The 23,385-nt window shown below is 39.0% G+C and overlaps 1 protein-coding gene across 40 annotated transcripts in view; it reads left to right on the forward strand.

The window, feature by feature from the left end:
* CELF2 (CUGBP Elav-like family member 2) overlaps positions 1-23,385 on the forward strand; it is an 874,126-nt gene that overhangs the window by 519,677 nt on the left and 331,064 nt on the right. For 10 of the 40 annotated variants that reach the window (NM_001326334.2, NM_001326336.2, XM_024447776.2 and 7 more), the window contains exon 1: positions 23,086-23,214. The exons of 26 other annotated variants lie outside the window; for them this stretch is intronic. Coding sequence is in view for 8 of the 14 variants with exons in the window: in NM_001326336.2 (NP_001313265.1) it covers positions 23,162-23,214 (53 nt within the window). In the remaining 6 variants the exon portion in view is untranslated. Of the gene's footprint in view, positions 1-21,738; positions 21,917-22,421; positions 22,773-23,085; positions 23,215-23,385 lie in introns of those variants that run through there. 4 more of the 40 variants (NM_001326330.2, NM_001326329.2, XM_047424493.1 and 1 more) reach the window with 3 other exon arrangements.

Raw genomic sequence — 23,385 nt, forward strand, 5'->3', positions numbered from 1 at the left:
TTACAGGTGTGAGCCACCATGCTCAGCCGACCCTCTCTTCTACTTCCTGAGGCCCATACAATCAAAATCCTCTGGCACCTGGAACCAGGTAGAAATGATAGGTAGAGGTGTAGAAGTCTTACAGTTACCCCAAACCCCCACAGAGGCATGTCCCTAATAATATATTTGTAAACCGACAAAAGAAAACTAGCTTTCAGAATAACACAGAAAATGAATTATTGGCTGCTACAAAAATTTAGGAATCTGGAGATCTTGGGGGCATAGATGAGGTTAACCAAGCAGCACCTGGGTCCCAGCCCAGGCTACAGGCCCCAAAGGAAGGACATGAGGACAGAACAAGGAGGAATGAGGTCCAGGAAAGAGCTGCTCATCAGATCCCAGGATTTTAAAGTATGCTGAGTGCTTTCTTCCTATTACCCTGTAGTTCCAGCTTTGATCTGAAGGGAAGAAGTTGGTTCCCTTCTAAACTAGATTTGTTTTATGACCTAAGGCATATTCATTTGGGCAACATGAGTATGACATTTTTCTCCCAACCATGTTAAGTCTAATTAATTTATCAGGCACTTGCCAGTTTGCCCATTCTTGCCCATAACTACCCTCAAATCTTCAACTTTTAAGGTGAATTTGGTTTTGAAGTTACTGTCATTTCTTATGGCCTACTGGAAATTTTCTGGTGTGTGTTTTTTTTTTTTAATGTTTGCATTTTCTAAGACTACTGTGCTTTTGTATGTATTCATTTAAATTGTCAAAAAGGATGTTGTCAAGATATGCTGAATGAGCCCCTTCCCCCAGAAATGTTGCCATATTAATGGGATATTAGCCCTTTACTGACTTGGAGGTTGCATCTTCTCAATCCGGTAATTAGCTGAAGTGCTACATTTTAAAAAATAATTTAAGCTCTTTTTTCATTATTTTTTTTTCAATTTTTCAGAAGGCAAGTTCAGACACATAGGTTTATACAAGATGAAAATATTAGATAAAAAGTGATACATCTGAATTATGTATTTTAAACATTTTTACTTAAATACCACACATGTCCACATAGCATTATTTATACACATTTTAGTAAAACTAGCTGAGGGTGCTTGGGGGTAGGGTATTCAGTTAGTAACCTGTATCTAAGTTGATACATATCTTCCCTAACCTGTTTACTTGATTGAATTGATTAGGGACTATTAAAAAATAAAATTATCTTTGAGAAGCAAAGAGTAAACACATATATAACATGGTTCTAGTTCTTGTACTGGACTCAATTCAGTCTGTAATTTTTACTGAGTCCCTACAAAGGCCTTATGCTATGATGGGTGCTACCGAAGATACATCCGTAGTTTTTGTTTTTGGTTTTTGGTTTATTTTTTTGAGACAGAGTCTCACTCTGCTGCCCAGGCTGGAGTGCAGTGGCACAATCTTGGCTCACTGCAACCTCCACCTCCCAGGTTCAAGCGATTCTCCTGCCTCAGCCTCCCAAGTAACTGAGATTATAGGCACTTGCCACCACGCCTGGCTAATTTTTGTATTTTTAGTAAAAACAGGATTTCACCATGTTGGCCAGGCTGGTCTTGAACTCCTCACAGGTGATCCACCTGCCTCAGCCTCCCAAAGTGCTGGGATTACAGGCATGAGCTACCACGCCTGGCCGATATATCTGTTATTAATGTAGGTTTTGAAGCTTGCCCTCGAGGATTTAAAAGACAGCATTGCAATTTGCATGTAACCTCTGAGTCAACTACTGAACTATTAAGTTGCGAATGGAAGACTTATAACCACACATGTGAATCTGCCGATTTTTTTAAAGACCTCAGTGTTGAAAAGATCATATAGAACAATAGCTAGTACTTATTAAGTGTCTATTATGTGTCAGCTTCCTGGCATCTGTTAATTTATTTTACCTTTGTAATATTCAGGCGAGGTATGCGTTATCCCCACTTCACAGATGAGGAAATAGGTTCCGAAAAGAAACTTACTGAAGGACACACAGAGGGTCGAGTCAGAGATCCGCTCCAAGCCCTATCTTACTCTAGTGGCCACCTTCTTTTTACTTCACATCCCATCATAAAATATAAAACTAAACGAAGTGTTGATGGTTGTTTAATGCGAGCAATGCAGGCTGCCAAGTAGAACAATTAAGACTCTGAAATAGCTATTTTGCTTTGACTACTTGGCTTATTTAACAATCTACAGTTACTAGCTAGATGGATAATTGTACAGCCTCTCAATTACTTTAGGTTATGTGGACATAAGCCTGGCGCCGTTTGATTCTGACTCTAATGATATTTAATTTCATATTCCTAATAGCTCCTTGTCTAGTGAGTATCCTAGAGGATAGAGAAAGGTACACTTTGAGGATAACCTCAGTTGCATGTACTCAAGCGGTCTTCAGGTAGCATGCATGCCCTCCCTTTAAAGAAACTTAGTTCAGGAAAGTTAGGCTGACAAATAAATATACTAGGACATCATGGTTTCATTACAGAATGACTCTCTCTTTTAAGGGGATTCACCACCATTTTTGTCTCCTTAGCAAGACCCACTAGCATATTTAAAATATTATTTTAATATATGAATATAAATTATACCTCTTTTTAGAGATATGTCTGTCAAGTGAAGCACATTCATACCTTGACTGGACTAAATGTTTGTCCTTATACAGAGCACAAAATGTTTCTTTCTCATTCATTCTTTCAATTTTAAAAGCCAACAGGGACCAGGGCAGTAAAGAAGAGAAACGGGCATGTGAATGTGGTCAATGGAGTCTATTCTATTGACGAATGTTTCACATTTTCTCAAACTTTTCGAGGAAATATAAAAATATGTTGCCCCAACTTCCTTTCCAATTTCCAAAGGAACATTTTGGCTGGGAATTAGGAAAATTTCGTTCTATGTATAACATCTACGAAGATGTTTAAACTGTAATTGCATGCCATTTCAAGGAAATGTTCTTTCAGTACAGTGAAGACTGACCTACTCGGGAATATTAAAATGTACAGGGGTTCACATTTTGGTGATAATATTTTATCATTTTGAAAACTTATTCTTAATACACCCCCACATTACATTTTAGTAAAATGGTTTCACTTTCTTTAACACCCATTAATAGCTATTAGAAGTAAAAAAAAAAAAAATAAGGCTTTATATAGATCCTTAAACTACACTTAAGTAATTTGTAATTGACAATTAAATCAGCATGGCAATGCATTATCATAAGTTTGATAGATCTGCCTTTCTTAAAATCCTGAGAAGAAAGGGCCCTTTTGTAAGACACCCAACACAGACTATTCTTGCATTTTAATTGACCACAAAGCACACATTGTCTCCATGTAAGTGCTTGGTAATCATCTTTTACAAGTTTCCTTTTGTTGAAGATTTTGATGCTGCCTGTGGAAGGCTGGTTCATGCTAGAAACAGTGTCCTTAGTTGAAATGTGGGATTAGCCGCAGCCATACTTAAATGATTGGCCTTGCCGTGGTCATAATATAAAAAGTAGAGTTAAAGCTTTCCACTTTGAAATCCTGGGTTTCTCATTCTCTCCTTCCCTCTCTTGTTTCTTCTTCTCGCTAAAGACCCATGAATGTGTGCTCACAAAGCTGGGTCTGCACGTGGGCCTGATGACAGCCACACCGATGATGACCCCATTCCTGGGCAGCTGACAGGCATTGGAGTCACCCTGTCCAACCATAGAATAGGCATGTGGGCTATGTTTGTAAAAGCTGGACTCTTTTCTCATCCCTAGGAAATTTGAAGACCTACTGTATAGAAATGCCGGTTAAAATAGTTACATGTTGAGATGAAAATAAACACTGAATTTGAGAGGGAATTTTAACCATTCATTTATCTATTTGTCTCCCAAGCAACTTCTGAAAATTCCATAGATAGTTGATTAGATTAATTTCCAGTTTTGTCCACTTTCTTACATCCTATACTAACAATAGCACTTATCTATACAGTGTAAAACTTTTTATAAAAAAAAAAGGTATATTCTCTGTATTTCAAACTATTAAAATTGCAAAAAATTCTAAAGATTGATTTTCATATAATTTGCTAGAATCTAGGATAAATCAAAATACCAATAGAGATTTTTTCCCTCTAATATCTAAGAAAGCTGTTTTATAACATGGACATAATCAAGTTTTCTGTGAGTCTGATTCATCTCATAAAGAATTATCTCCTTTACTACATCTTCATTCTATTCTTTAATACTGATTTTGTGGGTTTTCATATGAGATAAATGCGTTACATTAAAGGTGAAAACGTGTGATAGGTGTTTTTTAAGTAGCTTGTAAAGTGTGGAAGTTAGTTAGGTATTGATACCCAATTAGTAGAAATTAAAATTTTAATCTGGGAAGAAGAAAGGAGTATTGTATAATCAGATGAAGTATCTTTACATTGGAATACAGTTCCATTCATGTGACAGCTGCTTAGTGATGTTTTGAAAATTAAATTGAATTAATAAATTCAAGGGGATCAAACCACACTTAAAGTGATGATGGCACAACTGTAACGGGCATTTCCACCAATCCCTCTACAGGGCAATGTCTGCCACATTGCAATGTGGCCAGGCTCACAGGGAGGAATGTGTGAGATAAACATTAGCGTCAGCACTACAAGGTCACGCGTTCTTACCACCAAATATAATGGGTTTATATGACTATATCAAAGGAGGGAAGAAGGCCCCCAGCCCTGAGGACTTTCAGTGGCAGGAGGAAGGCACAGTCCAAGCAGTAACTGATGAAAATGTGCAGTCTGCTGTACAAGTGTATAAACTGTTTATTTTATGGGAAGAAAAGTCATCAAGAGATTTATCCGAAAGTCAGGCTTGGATAGACTAGCTGGCAGTAGTCATCTTTACCTTTGGTCCTACCGTCTCAATTGCATCCTACTACTTGAATCATGTCACAAGGTATTAAAGGAAGAAAGTGAGATTGGTGAGACAGCAGAGACGCTCAATTCCAAAACTCCAACAGCAAAAGGATTGATCATTTTAGAATACCTTGTAAGTCAATAGTGAAAACATTGTAACAGCTCTCTAGAGATCTTTTTTTTTTTTTCATTTCTGGCATTGCTCTAAAACCTCACTAATTCGGAACAGTTTTTTTCCTAAAATTGGAGAATTTCCCAAATGTAAGCTATTTTTGTAAATATTATCGTAAACTAAGGCGTATATATACACACACATATACTGCTTAGTTGAATGAAAATAAATATGTCACAACAGCGCTGTATTAAATGTTTCCTAAACTTTAAAATATCGAGATATATTGTTTGCTTTTTAACTTTTTACTCAAAAAAAGGTACATAGTCTTTGGGACTTCTAGTTAAGATTGTGTTTTAACTTAGGGCCCTTGATGTAGTTCAGAGATAGAGCACATTAAAAGAATTATACTCCACAATCAATTGTGGTTTGTTTGAAAATAAAAAGATGTTTTAGTTTATAATATTAACATACTATAACACATCACCTCAGTAGATCAATAAGAAAAAAACGATCTCAATAGGAACTCAATAATGATAACCAGAATCTATAAGGAACTCAAACAAATCAGCAAGAAAAAAAATAATCCCATCAAAAAGTAGGCAAAGAACATGAATAGACAATTCTCAAAAGAAGATATACAAACAGCCAACAAATGTATGAAAACATGCTCAACATCACTGATTATCAGGGAAATACACATTAAAACTACACTGAGATACCACCTTACTCCTGCAAGAATGGCCGTAATTAAAACGTCAAAAAACAGTAGATGTTGGCATGGATGTGGTGAAAAGGGAACAGTTTACACAGCTGGTGGGAATGCACATTAGGACAATCACTATGGAAAAGTATGGGGATTCCTTAAAGAACTAAAAGTGGATCTACCATTCAATCCAGCAATCCCAGAGGAAAGGAAGTCATCATATGAAAAAGGCACTTACACATGCTTGTTTACAGCAGCACAATTCGCAATTGCCAAGACATGGAACCAACCTAAGTGCCCATCAACCAATGAATGGATAAAGAAAATGTGACATATATAGATATATAGATATACACACATACATATATATGTGTGTGTGTATATATATATATATATAGAGAGAGAGAGAGAGAGAGCATGGAATACTATTCAGCCATAAAAAGGAACGAAATAATGTCTTTTACAGCAACTTGGTTGGAGCCAGAGGCCATTATTCTAAGTGAAGTAACTCAGGAATGGAAAACCAAATATCGTACGTTCTCACTTATAAGTGGGAGCTAAGCCATGAGGATACAAAGGCATAAGAATGATATAATGGACTTTGAGGACTTGGTGGGGAGGGTTGGGAGGTGGTGAGGGATAACAGACTACATATTAGGTACAGTGTAGACTGCTTGGATAATGAGTGCACTCAAATCTCAGAAATCATCACTAAATAACTTATCCAAGTAACCAAAAACCATCTGTACCCCAAAAACTATTGAAGTAAAAATATAAAAAATATTAAGCCCTTATTCCTAAGAGGCTAAAGAAACTCTTAGAAAACGAGGAATACAGAGGAACTTTTAAAATTTAATGAAAGACAGCTATCTTAAACCGATAGTTGGGTAAGAGATGAGCAAGGGCACAAACTGTCATCATTCACGAAATAATGTACTGGAAGTTCTGATCATAGCAATAAATCATGGAACCCAAATAAACAGATACACTCATTAGAAACACTAAAGATCGAAATTTTGTCATTTGCCAAAAAGATAAATATAAACATAAAAAGTGAAAAAACTAAAAATCTGTATGAATTTAAGATCTGTATGAATTTAAGGACAGTGTACTGAAAAAAATTTTAAGCAACAACTTTACCTTAAATCAGTAGTTAACACGTGGGAACTGTCTGAAGAAAACATTAAGTCCTCGCAGAGAGAAAATGTTAGAATTTGAGTAAATTTAGAGTTAGCCTATACTTCTAGATGGACAGAGCTAGTATTCTAAATACATTAAATTTTTCCCAGATAAATCCAAGTGTTCAGAACAAATACCAATAAAAATTTCAGTAGAATTTTTTGAATTGATTTGAATTTATTGTAAATCTCAGCTTGAAGTTCGCTTTGAAAGGGAAGCATAATGCTAAGAGTAACTTGCTATACCAGATGTTAGAAAGTATAGCTACCAGTTTTTCATCAAAGCAACATGGTACCAACCTAAGAAATGACAGACGGATTCAGTAGCATGAAATCTGATATGTAAACATACACATCTTACCCCAAAAACCCCAGGGAAAAGGACTGCATCATAAATGATACTGGTTAAACTTCCCACGTGGAAAAAAGAAATAATTATGTTGTATCTTCACCTTACACCATGAACCAAAATACATCGTGAATGGATCAAATAGTAAAAAAGGAAAATGAAAAAAACACAAAGGTAAAAATCTACTCTCAGGGTAGGTGAGACTTTTTATGTTAAATAAAATAAGCAAGTTATTGAAATCTTTGGCTATATGAAAGTTTGTAAATTCAGACCAAAACATTTTTAATCATTAAAAATAAATTATGATTTGTGGGAAAAAATCTTTTTTAGGAATTAAAATACATAAATAAATATAGAACAGTTTCAACTTGATTAAAAAAACAGTTTATGACTAAAGCACATAAACTGACCATAAAAGTAGACAAAGGACAATAAACATTGGGAGAAATATTTATCTTCACTAGTATTCAGAGACATGCAAAGAAAACAGTGAAGTAACAGGTCATCACTCATCATAGTACAAATTTAAAATTAACAGTACACTTGAGAATAGCAAGCCACTCTTGTATATGGGGGAATGTCCATTGCAAATCTGCAAAGCAATTTAGTAATTTATGTTAAGATGTAAAACAGTTATCTTCTCTCTGAAGAAAATCAGAATTACCCACATACATTCACAAGAATTTTCATCTCAATGCTATATATAAAAGTAAACATTTATAAATGCCCTTAATATTTAATCTTAGAGGAATGGTTAAATAAATTATGGGATATTTGTAAAATGAAATAATATATAATCCTTGGAAAATATTTTCAACGTCATTATGTGGGAAAAATATATCATGTTGTATAAAAAGGATTAAAAATTCTGATCAATACAACCACAGTTTTATATAAAGAGACAAAGTATATGGATTGAAAATGACTAAAAGGAAATATTACCAAAAGTTAAACAATTTTGTATCTAGTGAGATTGAGGTGTAGATAATTTTTCTTCTTTATACTTATCTGTGTTTCTGAGCATTATTATGAGCATGAATTGCTTTTGTAATCATTAAAAACAATAAACGTTATTTTTAAGAGAATCATGTTCTATGTCCAAATTATCACTAAATCTGAGTTAATGGCATCTAAATTAAGAGTCTTTCAATGGTAAAGTTTTAGTAGTATAATAGTATAATATACGCTCAGTGGCAATTCAGTGTATTTCATAGATAAGTTTCATTTGTAGCAAGATGCTAAATAAAGGCTAAAAAAGATAATGATCTTCCAGAGATTTGTAGATAAATAATTGTTATAAAACAAGTCTTGTTTCTGCCTGAGATAGCCAGGAAAGAGGATTCAATAAGATGCTCAGAAATGTACCAACTGACATTTTACTAAGTCAACATGGTTTGGGTATCATTTGGGGTAACCTGTGTTCTCAGTGGCTTTCCATAACCCTAAGAATAATTTTGCAGGCATTTTGGCATTGAGTCTTCATTTAAAGAATGAAAATGAAATGCATTCCAGTGCTTACAGCATCTTTTTGAGGTTCTTTTGCGTGTGTGTGTGTGTGTGTGTGCCCACACGTGTGTGTTGTTTTGTTTGTGTGAGTTTTTTTCCCCCCATAAAGTATTCCTTTTGAAGTTCACAGCTTAGGCAGAGAAAGCCGAGTTTGGCGGGTGTAACTTTTGAATGCATAAAACAGCGGCTTTAATCTCAGGTTATGATTGACACCAAACAAAATACAGACTCTCTCTTTGTTCTCCAAAACACAGTGGAATCCTTGTGGGTATTTGTGGTGTTGGGTGTGCATGTGTGCACATGTGTATATGTGTGTGCTGTTTGTTCAAGGTAAGAAAAAGGTTTGCAAAGTTCAGCTGACGACAGCTAATGAATTTGGCATCCTTCAAGCTGTCTCCTAAGAAGCAATTCTGATGACAGGCCTATGAGGCACACGCTAAGGGGATGTGACAAGAGTCTCAGTGGGGATGATCCTGCTGAGAAGACTGAGACAAATGGGCTGCAGAGACCTCTGGTAACCAGGCTAAGAGTTGGGAGAGCTTCAGATGTGGTGTCACACCTGCCTGTCCCCAACAAATCCACCAGTGCATCCTGGGGGTGATAAACTGCCCATAACAAATTAGACTGTTACACTGAGACAAGGTTATCTGAAGAAAAATAGGAAAGTTTTACTTCTCAGTAATTTTGTTTTCTCAATTTTTTTTGGAGGAGTTTGAGGCTTTTCATCTTTCATCAATTTCTCTAATGTTGCTACAGAAAGCCACTGCAGCTGCCCCCAAAGACTTGAAAGAGGGAAGGAAATGCTCTTCAAAAATTACTGGAACCACATGGAACCCCTGTGGCCTCTTGAAAAAAGTAGACAACACTTTATCCCATAATTGTGCACAGATCCCATTATGTTTATTACTTGATTCTAGACTTACTCCCTATTTCCATCCTACACTCATCTATCAGTTTCTCCTTCCTAAAACACCCCTGTGCCATGCCTTTCTCTACTATAGTTCTTCATTCACTTGGTTATTTTTTACGCTATTATGCAACAAACATTTATTGAGTATCTACTGTGTGCCAGGTACCTTAATAGGCATTGGGAAATATGGAAATTCTTATCATGGTAGCTGACCTCAAGGAGCTAACACTCTAATGGGGCCCCAGACAAGAAAACAAATTTACTAGTCAATTGCTGCAATAAGGCCACATACAAATTATTCCACAGTGCAGTGGTTTGCAGAAATAAATGTTTATTCTTACACTTATGAATCTACAGATCAACAATGGTTTGGCAGATCTAGGTTAGGTGGCTCTCTTTCAAACTGTGAGTCAGCTGGGGTTGGCTTTCAATTGTGAGTTGGGCTCAAATCTCCATGTGTGTTTGTTCTGGGACCCAGGTGGAAGGAACAGCGGATTCCCCAGGCATGCTTTTCTCATGTCAGAGAAAAACCCAAACACACAAGCACATTTAACCTAATGTTGGGTAACGTGTTAATGATGAAAGCAAGTGGCATTATCAAGCCCAATGTCAATGTAGTGGGGACATATATTCCACTCACTCTATTGTACTATAAGGTCATATGATCGAAGGAGGGCGCAAAGAATTGGCAAAATAATCCAATCTAACACAAAATTTGTGCCAATGAAGTATAATAAATGATACAAGAGAAGTATATTCAAGGTTTGGATGAAGTACGGAGAAATATTTCAGAAGAGGGTGTATTAGGGTTCAGCCAAAGAAACAGAACTAGCAGGATCAATAGATGATGGATATATAGGTAGGTAGATGATCCAATAGTTAAATAGAAAGGTAATTAATGGATAATAGATAATTCAATGATAGGTGATAAATGGATGTTTGTTACAGGAATTTGACTGCACAGTTACGGCAGTAGGTTAAACAGTCTCTGTAAGGTTTTTTTCTCTACATCTGGTGCTGGAACTTGAAGTCTGTAGACCAAATAGTTAACAAGGAAAGATGGTAAAGTGGAGGAGATCAAGGGCAGGCTAAAGCCCACAACCACAGCTTGAACTACTTGAGGATGTGCTGAAACACTTATATATTCTTGTTGTCTCTGTCTCAGTAAGGTTCATTGACCTTGGTGAGACAGCTAAACACATGCCTGGCCCAGAATTCAGAGAAACTCAGGGCGGATGATCCAGGGCAGGGCAGAACAATTGCAGGGCCAGCTGCTGTTTCCCACCGAAGAGGCGAGTCAGCAGATCAGTAATAAGGTGTATGAGCTACAAAATAACTGTTGCTTCCCTTCTGTCCTTCAGATCTCCCAAGAATCTTGTGTCTCACCCTAACTAGAAATATCTTTAAATGAATTTTGGGAAATGTAGTTTGGCCTGGCCAAACTACATTTGACTCATTACAAAGGCTTTGACTCATTTCAAAGCCATCACAAGAGGCATCTAATTGAAGCTACTAGAAAGAGTAAATTGGGAAACACTTTCAGGGCAGGTGATATTTGAACTGCAACTGTAAGGATGAGCAGGAGTTAACTGGGAAGGGGAAATGCCAATTTAGGCAGACACCAAGCATGAGAAAGGCAAGCCTCAGGAATATGGAAGATCCTGGTATAGAAGTCTAACAGCCTAAGCCACTGGGAACACACTTGTAGTCAAAGCTATATTTACATAATTGTGGCAGCAAAAGAGAATGCCTGCCAAGGTTATGATGGGACAACTTGGAAAAAGAGAGTTGGAAGGAGCTTATTGTAGAAATAGGGCTTGTGCTGCATGATTCTAATGGGGTATTAGAGAACTGGAGGACAGTCCTGGATTGGATGTTTTCAGAAAGCATTGGATATCGATATGGACTCAGCTGTGTTCTCCCCAAAATTTGTGTGTTGAAGTCCTAACCCTGGTACCTGGGAATGTGATTGTATTTGGAGATAGAACCTTTAAGGAAGTAATTAGAGTTAATGATGTCATAGGTGTGGGGCCCCAATCCAGTAGGACTAGTATCCTTATCAGAAAAAAAAGACACTAGAGATGTGCAGGCATAGGGAGAAGGCTCCAAGGAGAGGAGCCTCATGAGAAACCAAACCTGCTGTCACCTTGATCTTGACTTCCAGCCTCCAGAACTGTGAGAAATAAATTTTTGTTTCTTAAGCCACTCAGTTTATGGTATATTATCACAGCTGCCCTAGCTGACTAACACAAGTATCTTGGTAGTTTTTATGTATAGACAGCAGGAAGATTAAAGAAGGACTAGAGTTGTCATTGGTAAAGAAGCAATTGGAAGAAGGGGATATTTCATTATTTTTACATTTGCAGAGTGTCTGTTTCTTTCTCTTGTTCCACCATGATCTCAAATTCTGATTATTTTTATATTGTGCAAGTGCTTTTAATGTTTAGAACATCATGGTCTACCTGTCAGCTACCTGCCACCAAAATTGTCCTTCACTTTCTCATTGATGTATTCAGAGAGGATTCTCATTTACTGATCCAGAAATTACAGGGAATCTCCATTGTTTACTATGTTGAATGCAGATTCCTTTGCCTGATTTACAACAGGGGTCCCCAGCTCTGTTAGGAACACAGCCACACAGCAGAAGGTGAGTGGCAGGTGAGTCAGCTAAGCTACATCTGTATTTACAGCCGCTCCTCATTGCTTGCATTACTGCTTGAGCTCTGCCTCCTGTTGAATCAGCAGCAGCATTCTATTCTTAAACGAGCACAAACCCTGTTGTGAACAGCACATGCAAGGGATCTAGGTTGTATGCTCCTTATGAGAGTCTAATGCCTGATGATCTGAGGTGGAAGAGTTTCATCTCAAAACCATCATTCCCCCCTCCCACCCCCACACCCCACCCTCCAGGTGCCAAAAAGGTTGGGGACTGCTGATGTATAAGATTCATAGTTCAGCCTCATTCTTCCTAGTGTCTGTTTCTCCACCTTTGTCAATCCAAGCTCTTCTATTCAGGCTTTCTTTTACTGTCTCTCATGTAATCTGCCCTCAGGCTAGTCTCCTCTGCAGGGCTATCTCACACTTTCCCTCCATGTCCTACCCCAGTGAAGGCACACCCTTCAAGAGTCTCCCAAGTCCTGTCTCTGCAAAAGTCTCCCTGGTGATTCCAGCGCGCTCTTATCACCTGCCCTTCCTTGGAGCTCTTGCGGCCCATAAAATCCCACAGCATTAGACACTGCATTATTCTTTGTTTCCCAAATTAAGCTGTGTCTTTCTAACTTGGTTATAAGTTCCTTAAGGGCAGGAGCTATGCCCCGTGCCTCTTTTGAATCCTCCTTAGAGTAATTCAACTTTAGATAACTAACACTGTAGTCCTTCAGAAAAAGAAACGTGTGGCTCATGTAGCTCGTCACATTTTTTATTTTTATTTTTTGAAACTGGGACCATATTATGACATCTTTGTATCTCCTTTTCTCCTGAGATGATGTCATCGAATTAATCATATGTTCAGCCAGCCAGTATTTTTGAGCACCTATTTTTATGCTTGGTGCTTGATATTTAAGCTCAGCCCTGAAGGATACACAGAAATAAACCCAGTCACAGGGTGGGGATCACTGGAGAGTTTTGCATTGGTGGAAAACAGCATGAACGAAAGCACAGACACAAGAGAAATTGTGTATTTGAGGAATTGGAAGAAGTTCAGGTGTGCCAGGTGAGAATACCTGAGAGATGAGTTGGAGACATAGGTGGATCTCATGGGCATTATTATGTGGCTTGGACTTCATCTTAGGGTAGGGGACACCTTCAAAGAGTTGTAAGCGGGAGACAGCTATGACCATATTTCAGTATTAAATAACTCTGGCTGAAATGTGTAGCATGGATCAGAGCCAGAGAGACTAGGGACAGGGAGATTCCTTATGAGGTCTGATGGCCTCAACTAACGTAGTAGAGATGGGAGGAAGTGGTTGGGAAAGTGTTGTTCAACAGATTCTCGTCTCTCTGACAATGTAAACTCATGGGCATTCTAGTTTCTATATATTTATGTTCATCAAATTATGCATTGGTTCTGGAATTAAAAATGAACATAAGACTCTTTTGATCTGGGTGCTGACTGCATGGGTATGTTCAGTCTGTGAATATTCCATGAGCTAAACACTTAGGTGAACTTTCCTGTAAGTATATCATATTTTTTACTAAAAAAGTTTAAAGTATAAAACAACTGGCCCAGGACATTTTATGCAAATGTAGAGTTTCTAATTTTTTATAATTTTTTTGGAGTCCTTATATGGCCAAATTCAAAGATATCTTCAAAATCAACTTGTGCTGTTGCTTTTCTGGAAATATTGAACCCAACTGGCCTGCTGGAAGCATAAGAGCTTGTTCTGCACCTTTGCTTGTCTGTTCAGAAAGCTGGGTGCAGTGCCCCTACTCCAGCCCCCTAGCCCTGTTACTTTTTAGTTATACATTAGAGGAGATGGTGATGAATAGCAGAGCACTTATGATTCTATCTCAGAAATGAGGGCAAGGAGCTGAAGGTTTGGTTAGCGTCGGTGAAGGCAAGGATTTTATTCGACCTCTAGGGTCTTCCTCTGTCCCCGCCTCCTTTCTCCGGGCATGTGCAGGCCCATGCTAGGCTGCCTTCGTGGGTTACTGCCCCAGTTCCCAACTGGTTTCTGAAACTTTCTGCATGTTCCTGCCTCTTATTTGTACTGCCTTGTTTTTTCATTCAGCATCCAAATAAAGAATTCATGATCTCATCGATGGCAAGGTAACTCATAACTTTGTATGTATATACTTTCTTACTCCAACTAGGTTTCAACCCTTTTATAATGCCTTTGGTGTTCTCTTTTGCTGGAACATCCTCCTTTGTCCCCGCTGTCAAGTTTGGATTTGCCCCGCAGTTCTGGTCCTCCTCCAGATCCCATTTTTTTTTGTTGCCCTCAACTTTTTTCTGGGCTGGTCTCTTCCACTGCAGTATCATCTAACTTCCTCCTCCCCTGGGAGGTGCTGCCCACAGGCTTCTCAAGCTCAGCTTATTCTCAGCAGAGTAACTTATCTTCCCCAATGACCCTGTTTTACCTTTTTTGGTTGCCTTCTTGGTCAACAGTATCATCATTTGCCAAATTGTCCGTGTTGGAAACATCAGAATTATCTTCAACTCCTTGGTTTTCTTCATTCCACCCACTCAGTTATTCACATTGTGATTCTACTGCTAAAATCTGCTTTGGCCCTTCTCCTCTCTCTACAGCTGCTGCCTGGCAACATGGAATAGTGATGCCCATCCCTTCCACGTACTGCATGTGTCAGCTTGGGCCGTTTTTAATCTGCCAGGCCCTTGTGTTTCCTCATTTGTGTCATGTGGGTGATAATGCAGATTTACGGGATGGCTCTCATAGCTAAGTGATGCAAGCCTTTGTGCCACTGCACTCTAGCCTGAGCAACAGAGCAAGACACCATCTCTGAAAAAGTATAAAAAATGAAAAAGAGCTATGGATGTGTTATGAGAATTTCAAACTCATCTTTCCTAGACCATCTGGGCTTCTCTTGCATTTCCATCACATGATCATATGAATCACCATATTGGTCTCACCTTCCAGGAAGGAAGGCTGATGCACTCCACTGTGGTCTTTATTAAGCTTGTGTGGTTTACTTCTTAGGATTCCCTAGAATCAAAACCACTAGGAAAGGAAGATCCCCAAGTGCACCAAAGGTCATATTCACGTTTGGATCCCAGATAATGGTCGAGTAACGTAGTTTCTCTGACCTGGCACTTTGAGCAGGAAGAAAGGGAGTTGCTTGTGCCTTTGCTTCCTCTAAAAATAGCAAGAATAAATTCGGTCCCTTTTCCACATAAATATTACATGCATCTTGCACAAGCTGGACAAGTAGGCAGTGGTTGACAAAGAAAAGAACCTCCCTCACGGGCCCCGTAGTCGCTCACTTGTAGGGTGGTCTTCCCACTGCCCTTCCTTCCTGTCTCGAGACTCTTCCAAGTTCTGAGTCCATGCTTCATGCTTGATATGGTTTGGCTCTGTATCCCCACCCAAATCTCACCTTGAATTGTAATAATCCCCACGTGTCATGGGAGGGACCCGGTGGGAGGTAATTGAATCATGGAGGCTGGATTTTCTCATGCAGTTCTTGTGATAGTAAGTCTCATGAGATCTGATGGTTTTATAAAGGGGAGTTCCTCTGCACACGCTCTCTTGCCTGCCACCATGTAAGATGTGACTTTGCTCCTATTCACCTTCCACCATGATTGTGAGGCCTCCTCAGCCATGTGAAACTGTGAGTCAATTAAGCCTCTTTCCTGTATAAATTACCCTGTCTCAGGTATGTCTTCATTAGCAGCGTGAGAACAGGCTAATACAATGCTGAGTTATCTTTCTAGAGCCCCAAACCTTTCATGGCTTCCTAATGGCAGAGTCTTTAGTGTGAAATGCAATATCCTTCCTCACTCAGCCCTAGGCTACTCTCTGCCTTGTCTCCACTACCTCTTTGGCCTCTAGAAACCTGCCAGGGACTTTCTTTTGGGGATCATAACTTAGTTATGTGCTTAGAGCATTTGCCATATTTACAAGGAATAGGAAAGTAAAAGTAATGCTTACTTTCTACCACTGCAATGTAAAATAAAATTTAATGCACTTTAAAAAGTGATGGTATATCTCATTAGGAACTGATTTAAGGAAATGTGTGGGGCCTTTAATAGCTTCCAGTGATTTGTTTTTAATAGCAGGCAGAGGATAGAACTCGTAAGAGTAACTTGCTGTTGATCTCTGGGGGATCTCAGTGAGGTGGGAGGTCAGCAGAGCGCAGGCTGACCCGGGAAGAAATGAGGTGACACCAGCTCTTGGGGCTGTGGCACAGTCAACTGAAGCATTAAATGCAAAAAGTAGAACTACTCCTAAAAATGAATGAAGCAAAAATTACACTGGCTTCTGATTCTTGTTCCTGGCCTATAGGACACTTGCTTTTGCCAAGCCACCACAAAAATCACCCTCCTGCTCCCATTGCTCCTAATTCTGAAAGTCTTGTCTTCCCATCTCATCTTCAATGCCCTGTTCTACCTGCCTGCAGTTTATGAACTCCCAAACTTTAGCATTTATGGAAAGTAATGAAGGTAATATACAGTTTTATCATTTTATTTTCAACGTACCCATATAAATGGTGCTTTAAAATTCAAAAACAATTATGAAAACATCAAGTTTATCATTCCATCTCAAGGAATGTATCAAATCCTTAAAGTTAGGAACAGGCCCTTCCTAATCTTTTTGTCTCTCCCTGTTCTAGCTGAATAACTTAATGACTCCTCGTTGAGCGTGGTATTTCACAAATTGTGCGATACAGCTGCAAGCCACTGAGACTAGGTAACGCACAGGAAGAATGCTTCGTGAAGAAATCCATCCTCCGAACAAATGTTTCCTAAGTGTCTACCACATACCACACGTTGTTCTAAAGTGGGGATAAAATGGAGAAGCTCCCTGTTTTCATGGAACTTAGGTTCACATGGAGGAAACAGATAACAAACAAGTTAATAAGTAAATAACTTAGTTTCAGAGGGTGATATAGAAAGGTAACATTGAAAGCACCTGAGTATTATATGAGAGCTATGCGATGAGCATGGAAGCACACATTTGTAGTCCTACCTACTTGGGAGGCTGAGGTGGGAGGAACACTTGAGCCCAGGAGTTCAAGGCTGCAATGAGCTATGATTGTGTCACTGCACTCCAGCCTGGGCAACAGAGCAAGACACCATCTCTGAAAAAGTATAAAAAATTAAAAAGAGTTGTGGATGTGTTATGATAGTTTCAAACTCATCTTTCCTACACCATCTGGGTCTCTCTTGCATTTCCGTCACGTGATCATATGAATTGCCATATTGGTCTCACCTTCCAGGAAGGAAGGCTGATCCACTCCACTGTGGTCTTTATTAAGCTTGTGCAGTTTACTTCTTAGGATTCCCTAGAATCAAAACCACTAGGAAAGGAAGATCCCCAAGTGCACCAAAGGTCATATTCACATTTGGATGCCCAGATAATGGTCGAGTAACGTAGTTTCTCTGACCTGGCACTTTGAGCAGGAAGAAAGGGAGTTGCTTGTGCCTTTGCCTCCTCTAAAAATAGCAAGAATAAACTTGGTCCATTTTCCACATAAATATTAAACGCCTAACTTATGAATATTCACCTGTGGCCTTCTTAAGATTTCCCACCTGCCTGAAAGTGGTGCTTGGCAAAACATTAGGCCAAAACTGATCTCTCCATTGTGAACATGTTGTCTGCTAAGTTGTAAGATTTCACAAACCAAAGCTAGTTTTTGATTGTTTGTTTGTTTGTTTTTTTAATCAACTACATTATCCATGATAGTTTATTTTAATGGGAAATGTTTTCCTTTCTTCTTCTTGTCTTCAATGGGCCTTTCTTTACCTACACAGACATAGTCCTCTGAAGCCAGTTCTTGGTGTCTGCTTTCATTTACAGCAGAGAATCATGATTACTCTTTAGAACAATACTTCTTAAATTTATCTAGTACCTATTTTCAAGTGGCTTCTTGGAGTTCCAAGTACTTTATGGTTTGCTATTTATACATACATATTGATAAATGTGACACTTTATCATGATAAGGGGCTTTACAATTAGTCTTGCTCATTAATCATTCCTGCGCCCTGCTCCTCCTGGTAAACAGCTCCAATTTGAAAATGAGTGAACAGTCTTTGTGGAAGGAGTCTCCATTTGGAATTTAGGGCCCTTGGATTTGTCACTGGGATGGCCACCTCCTGCTTCCACAGTATGACTGACAGGTCATTTTTGAGTTGCTCAAGTGAAAGCAACTCATATGAACAAGTTCCCCAGATACTGTCAAACCCTTTCTTTAGCAATGCTACTGGTGTCTTACTTTAAACCCACTGTCAGTATTATGTTTCAGGTAGTGAATTGTGATACTCGGGTCTTTTATGCTTTGGAAGTATTTTCCCCCACGAGGCAGAGCATGGAACTGGGGTCTGGAAGAAGGATTGCACCATATTCCATTAGTCTTCGGCTTCTGTCCCCAGTGCTGCCCTGGGCTCCCCCACTATTTGCAGACGTCACTGCTTTGCCTCTGTTGCACCCATAGAGAAAGACCCTTCTTCTGCAGTTGATAAATTGGGGTCAGAGGAGCTTTGTGTCTTCAGTGTGACATCAGCAGAATAGAAGAACGTTCATCCATTTGCACGTGTATTTATCAACTTCACCGAGCTCCTACTATGTATCACACACTTGGTACACTGCAAATCCATTTCTTTTAGACCTTGATCATTGCTTCATATTTACTTAACAAATTTTCTATGTATTCTTTCCATCTTCCAGAGCAATATGGGATGTTTCTTAATTAAACTTGGCAGTTCTCAGTATCTGAAACTAGCAGCTAAATAGATTTAATGTCCTTGATGCCTCCACATTCCTGGATTGTTCTTTTAGGATTTGAGAGGCAGGCTAGATTTGTGTACTGTCCCATGCTTATCAAAGAGGGAATCTGTTCTGTCAGGCTCTGGCATATTTTGTATTAACACTTCCATTGAAATGATACTTTCTATTACTTTTGCAATGTAAATGCCAAAATGCAAAGACAAGACACAGAAAGCAGAAAAAAAACTTAAGAATCATTAAGTTGTATTTGGAAATTTAGCTCTTTCTTCTGGAAATTACCTATAACAGAAACAAATGCACCTATAATTTCACCTTTTAAATTTGTTTAGAAAGCTCAAATCTGAAAAGGCCAAGAAGCTGGCTGATTCTTAGCTCACTGCCAATATTCTCACATTGCAGAACTTTTCTAGTTTTTTTCTTCATCAAGTTTGCATTATTAGCTAAAAATGTAATTTATACAGCAAAAACATCTTTTTGGATATAGAGGGCATCCGAACAATCTAAGATTTTCTTATTGTTCTTTGTTAATTACTGCTTTTTTTTTGGAAAAAAAGAAATCCCTACCAACCAAATATAGTAATAATCAGGATTGTTAAAAATTGGCTCCTACTGCAGATGATCCCAAAAAATATTAATAATTAGCCCCCAAAAGTTGTTAGTCTGTCTAGGCTCAACTCGACCTTCATTTGGAATAAAGTTTGAAAGGAATTGCTTTGATACTAGTATCCAAGTCAGAAACTGCTTAAGCAATTTTTCATTAACTTACTATCTATCTGTATTAGTCCATTTTCACATTGCTGATAAAGACATACCTGAGACTGGGTAATTTATAAAGAAAAAGAGGTTTAATGGACTCACAGTTCCATGTGGCTGGACAGGCCTCACAATCATGGCGGAAGGCAAAAGTCACGTCTTACATGGCAACAGGCAAGAGAGGAAATGAGAGCCAAGTGAAAAAGGAAATCCCTTATAAAACCAACAGATCTCATAAGACTTATTCACTACCACGAGAACAGAATGGGGAAAACCGCCCCTGTGATTTCAGTTATCTCCCACCAGGTCCCTCCTACAACACGTGGGAATTTTGGGAGCTACAGTTCAAGGTGAGATTTGGGTGGGGATACAGAGCCAAACCGTATCACTATCCCCTAAGGTTATTACTATCACATTAGGGAAGTGTAAGATTCATTACACTAAGCACTCCTTAAAAACTATGCTTTGCTGGGGCGAGTATGCGGATCTCTGTGCACAGTGGGGGCATTGGGTTGCATGTGGTGTCGTAGAAAGGGGCAGGCCCAGCAGTCGGTAGAATGAGCGCCTAAGCTCCATCATTATTGCATCTTCTCCAGGTAAGTCACTCCAGCCACTTCCTACACTTGAATTTCTGCAGCTAAGGGGGTTAAGGAACCAGCGGTGCCTGCCCACTATGTTGTCATGGGGATTAAATCAATTGCTAAATGTGAAAAGGTCTTGAAATGTAAAACACAATAGCATGAAAGGAATATCTCAGTGTAGTCATCTATGCTGACCAGTGCCTGAATTAGAATAAGAAACGTCAAGGTTATTTTTTTTTTCACATAGTTGTTAGAGAAATGGCATTTAAAATTTTTTTGAAAATAAAATAGTCCTCTCCTCACATTTCCAGTGGTTAAACATAAATTCATTCCTTTATTTAACAAATATGTATTAATTATCAGATAAGGGAAAAATATTCTAGTGGGTGCATTAAGAAGTGCAAAGATTAATTCCATGTGGAGTTGGGGAGGTCAAAGACTTACTATATACACTATGTACATGTTATAAACTACATCCTTTCTTCCTATTTACTCATCTTTATAACCCAGGTTTAGCACATGGTGGATGTAAAGCCCTCAATCTGTCATCTTAGTGGCGTTTAGACAGGTACTAAACTCTACCTCAATAGCGTTCTCATTATTTACATCCGTAGACTAAAAAGGAAGTGGAGAGAGTATAAAATATTTAATGGTTTGGTTCAGTTCCAGTCCTTACTACCATGGATCCACAATTTATTTCACTGTAGGAACAGCCCCATATACTACAACATGGGCTTCCAATGTTAAGAATTTACCTTTGGATAAGCAACTGCATTATTGTTGTACGTTAGTGCTTGCTTCATAGTTTAGCCCCCATTAGAAACTGCATGGAAATATGCAAAAAGGGCTTTGTGTCCGAGCAGCGTATTTTTACTTTTCTCTAATGGACAAAACCGGTGGCTGGTATCAGTCCAGTTATCCCATTTTTAATAATATTTACGCTGACTGAACACACCCAGTTTCACTACAAGCTCTTCACATGCTTTAAAATAAATTAGCATTTGTTGCCCCCATTTAACCGCTGGAGTAAAGAGAGCCACAGAGAGGTTAAGAGACTTCTGCCCCAGCACCGAGCACAAGTCACAAGGCGAATGGGCTCAAACTGTTTCTCCCTAAGATCTCTCTGGTTCCAAGCTCATTTACATGATGCTTTTCTTACTTCAAAAGAACATCTTAGATTTTATATGATATCATTCGCTGGCAAGGTTGTTCATTTTTATATATTCACTGTAACTTTCATATGTTAGAATGAAGCAAGAATATGTAAAAAAAAAATGGGGTTGTTTTAGGGACAAGGCTCTCATTTCATGATCTGATTTTTGTCAAGTGACTCATCACGCCTTCTTGTTGCCCTCTAGAAATAGGGATGGTGAGTGCTATCCTTCGCTTATTTGCCATAGTCCAGCTGATACATCATGCAAGATTTCTGTGCAGTGGAGATTTAAAAACCTTCGTCTCCCCCTGCCCAGAGAACATGTTCATTTTTCTAGCTGTGGATCAAGACCAAGTTCAGAGGTCAGAGACCTAGCAAGAAATTGGAGTGTGTTCCAGATCTTCAAATAGGTGGGGAACAGAGTCCACCATTACTTTCCTCCTCTATTATTATCCCCAGTAATGCTTTGAGTCCAGGTTATACTGAGGTGCATGTTGGAGAATGGGAGCGGGACCAGGATTCAGTGACCCACGTCTGTTTGAGGCTGTTCTATGTTGTTCCATCCAAGCTGAGCGCATTCTTGGCTTCAGGTCAGCACACACCTCCTGGAATAGTGCCTTAGCTTGCACTTTTGATGACGGATTGCTCAGTCCTTAGCATCTCTTCTTTCCTGTGTGTGTGTGCGCGCGCGTGTGTGTGTGTGTGTGTGTGTGTTGTTATTTTACTTGGCTAATCTGCGTAGAATTTTTCTAATTCCAATAAACAGAAGTACAATGTATATTTCCCTGGTTAACTGTACATGCGAAGCCTGGTAGGAAAGCAGATTTTTCTTATTTTAGAAAAGAGCAACTCATTGGTCTTTTGCAGATGATGCTCCTGTGTCGATGAGGACTCCAGTGCCACCAAACAATCTTTGCATTGCCTGCCTCCTTTAGATACCCTCCTCCAGGTGAATGACGCTCTGATTTGTGAGAATTCTGGTGCGCACAGAGTTAAAATATTTCCAAATCCTCGATCTCTATGCTATGCATCTATGACTCAGGGTGGGGCTAAGGGTCTTGACCTTGTCACTCTTCCTGAGGACAAGACAAGAGGAGCAGATGAATCCAACTGTGAATGCAGTGTCCCAGAAAAGAGAGGCAAAAATCCTTTTTAGCACACTGACCCATCCCAATCTGTGGTTACTCATCTGCGATGCTTGCTGGTAGTTTTGATAGCAAAAGGCAACTGGGAAATTGGTTTTGCTATTAAGTGTGTAAGAAAAAGGTAAATGAGTTCCTTGGTTGTTGTTTTTTTTGTTCCCCCAATTTTTAAAGATGGTAATTAGGAGAAGTAATACCAGCCAGGCTTGAGTGAATGCAGACAAGACCCCTATAGGCAGCACAGTGTATTAGTGTAATAATATGCATAGACAACATAACTTGTCAGAGAGGATTATTTCTACTTAGTGAATCTGCAGGAGCCCCCTTGCTCTACTATTCAGCATTTGACTAGGGAAGAGAGTGGGAAGACAGAGAGAGAGGGAGAGAGAGAGAGAGAGAGAGAGAGAGAGAGAGAGAGAGGGAGGAGAGGGCGCGTTAGTGAGCAGCGACTGTGGCATTGATGTTTGAGCATACTTCTGAACTGGCTTTTGTTGAGACTATCAGTATAGAAGCATGCGCTGTCCCAAATCCGCTGTTACTATGAGAAATGAAGAGCTGCTTTTAAGGTATGTTGTTGTGTCCTTTGTTTTTAATGCACGCTTTTCTAGTTTCTAGAGCTGGCTGAGACAATAATTATGCTCTGAATCAAGTAGCTTCCTTACCTTAGAAGAGAAGGGGGGAAAAAGAATCTAAAGAGGAAGAGGGAGATGAAATCGAGACCCAGAGATTGGGAGAAA

The sequence above is a fragment of the Homo sapiens genome, chromosome 10 (genome assembly GCF_000001405.40).
Source record: "Homo sapiens chromosome 10, GRCh38.p14 Primary Assembly".
Lineage (NCBI taxonomy): Eukaryota > Metazoa > Chordata > Mammalia > Primates > Hominidae > Homo > Homo sapiens.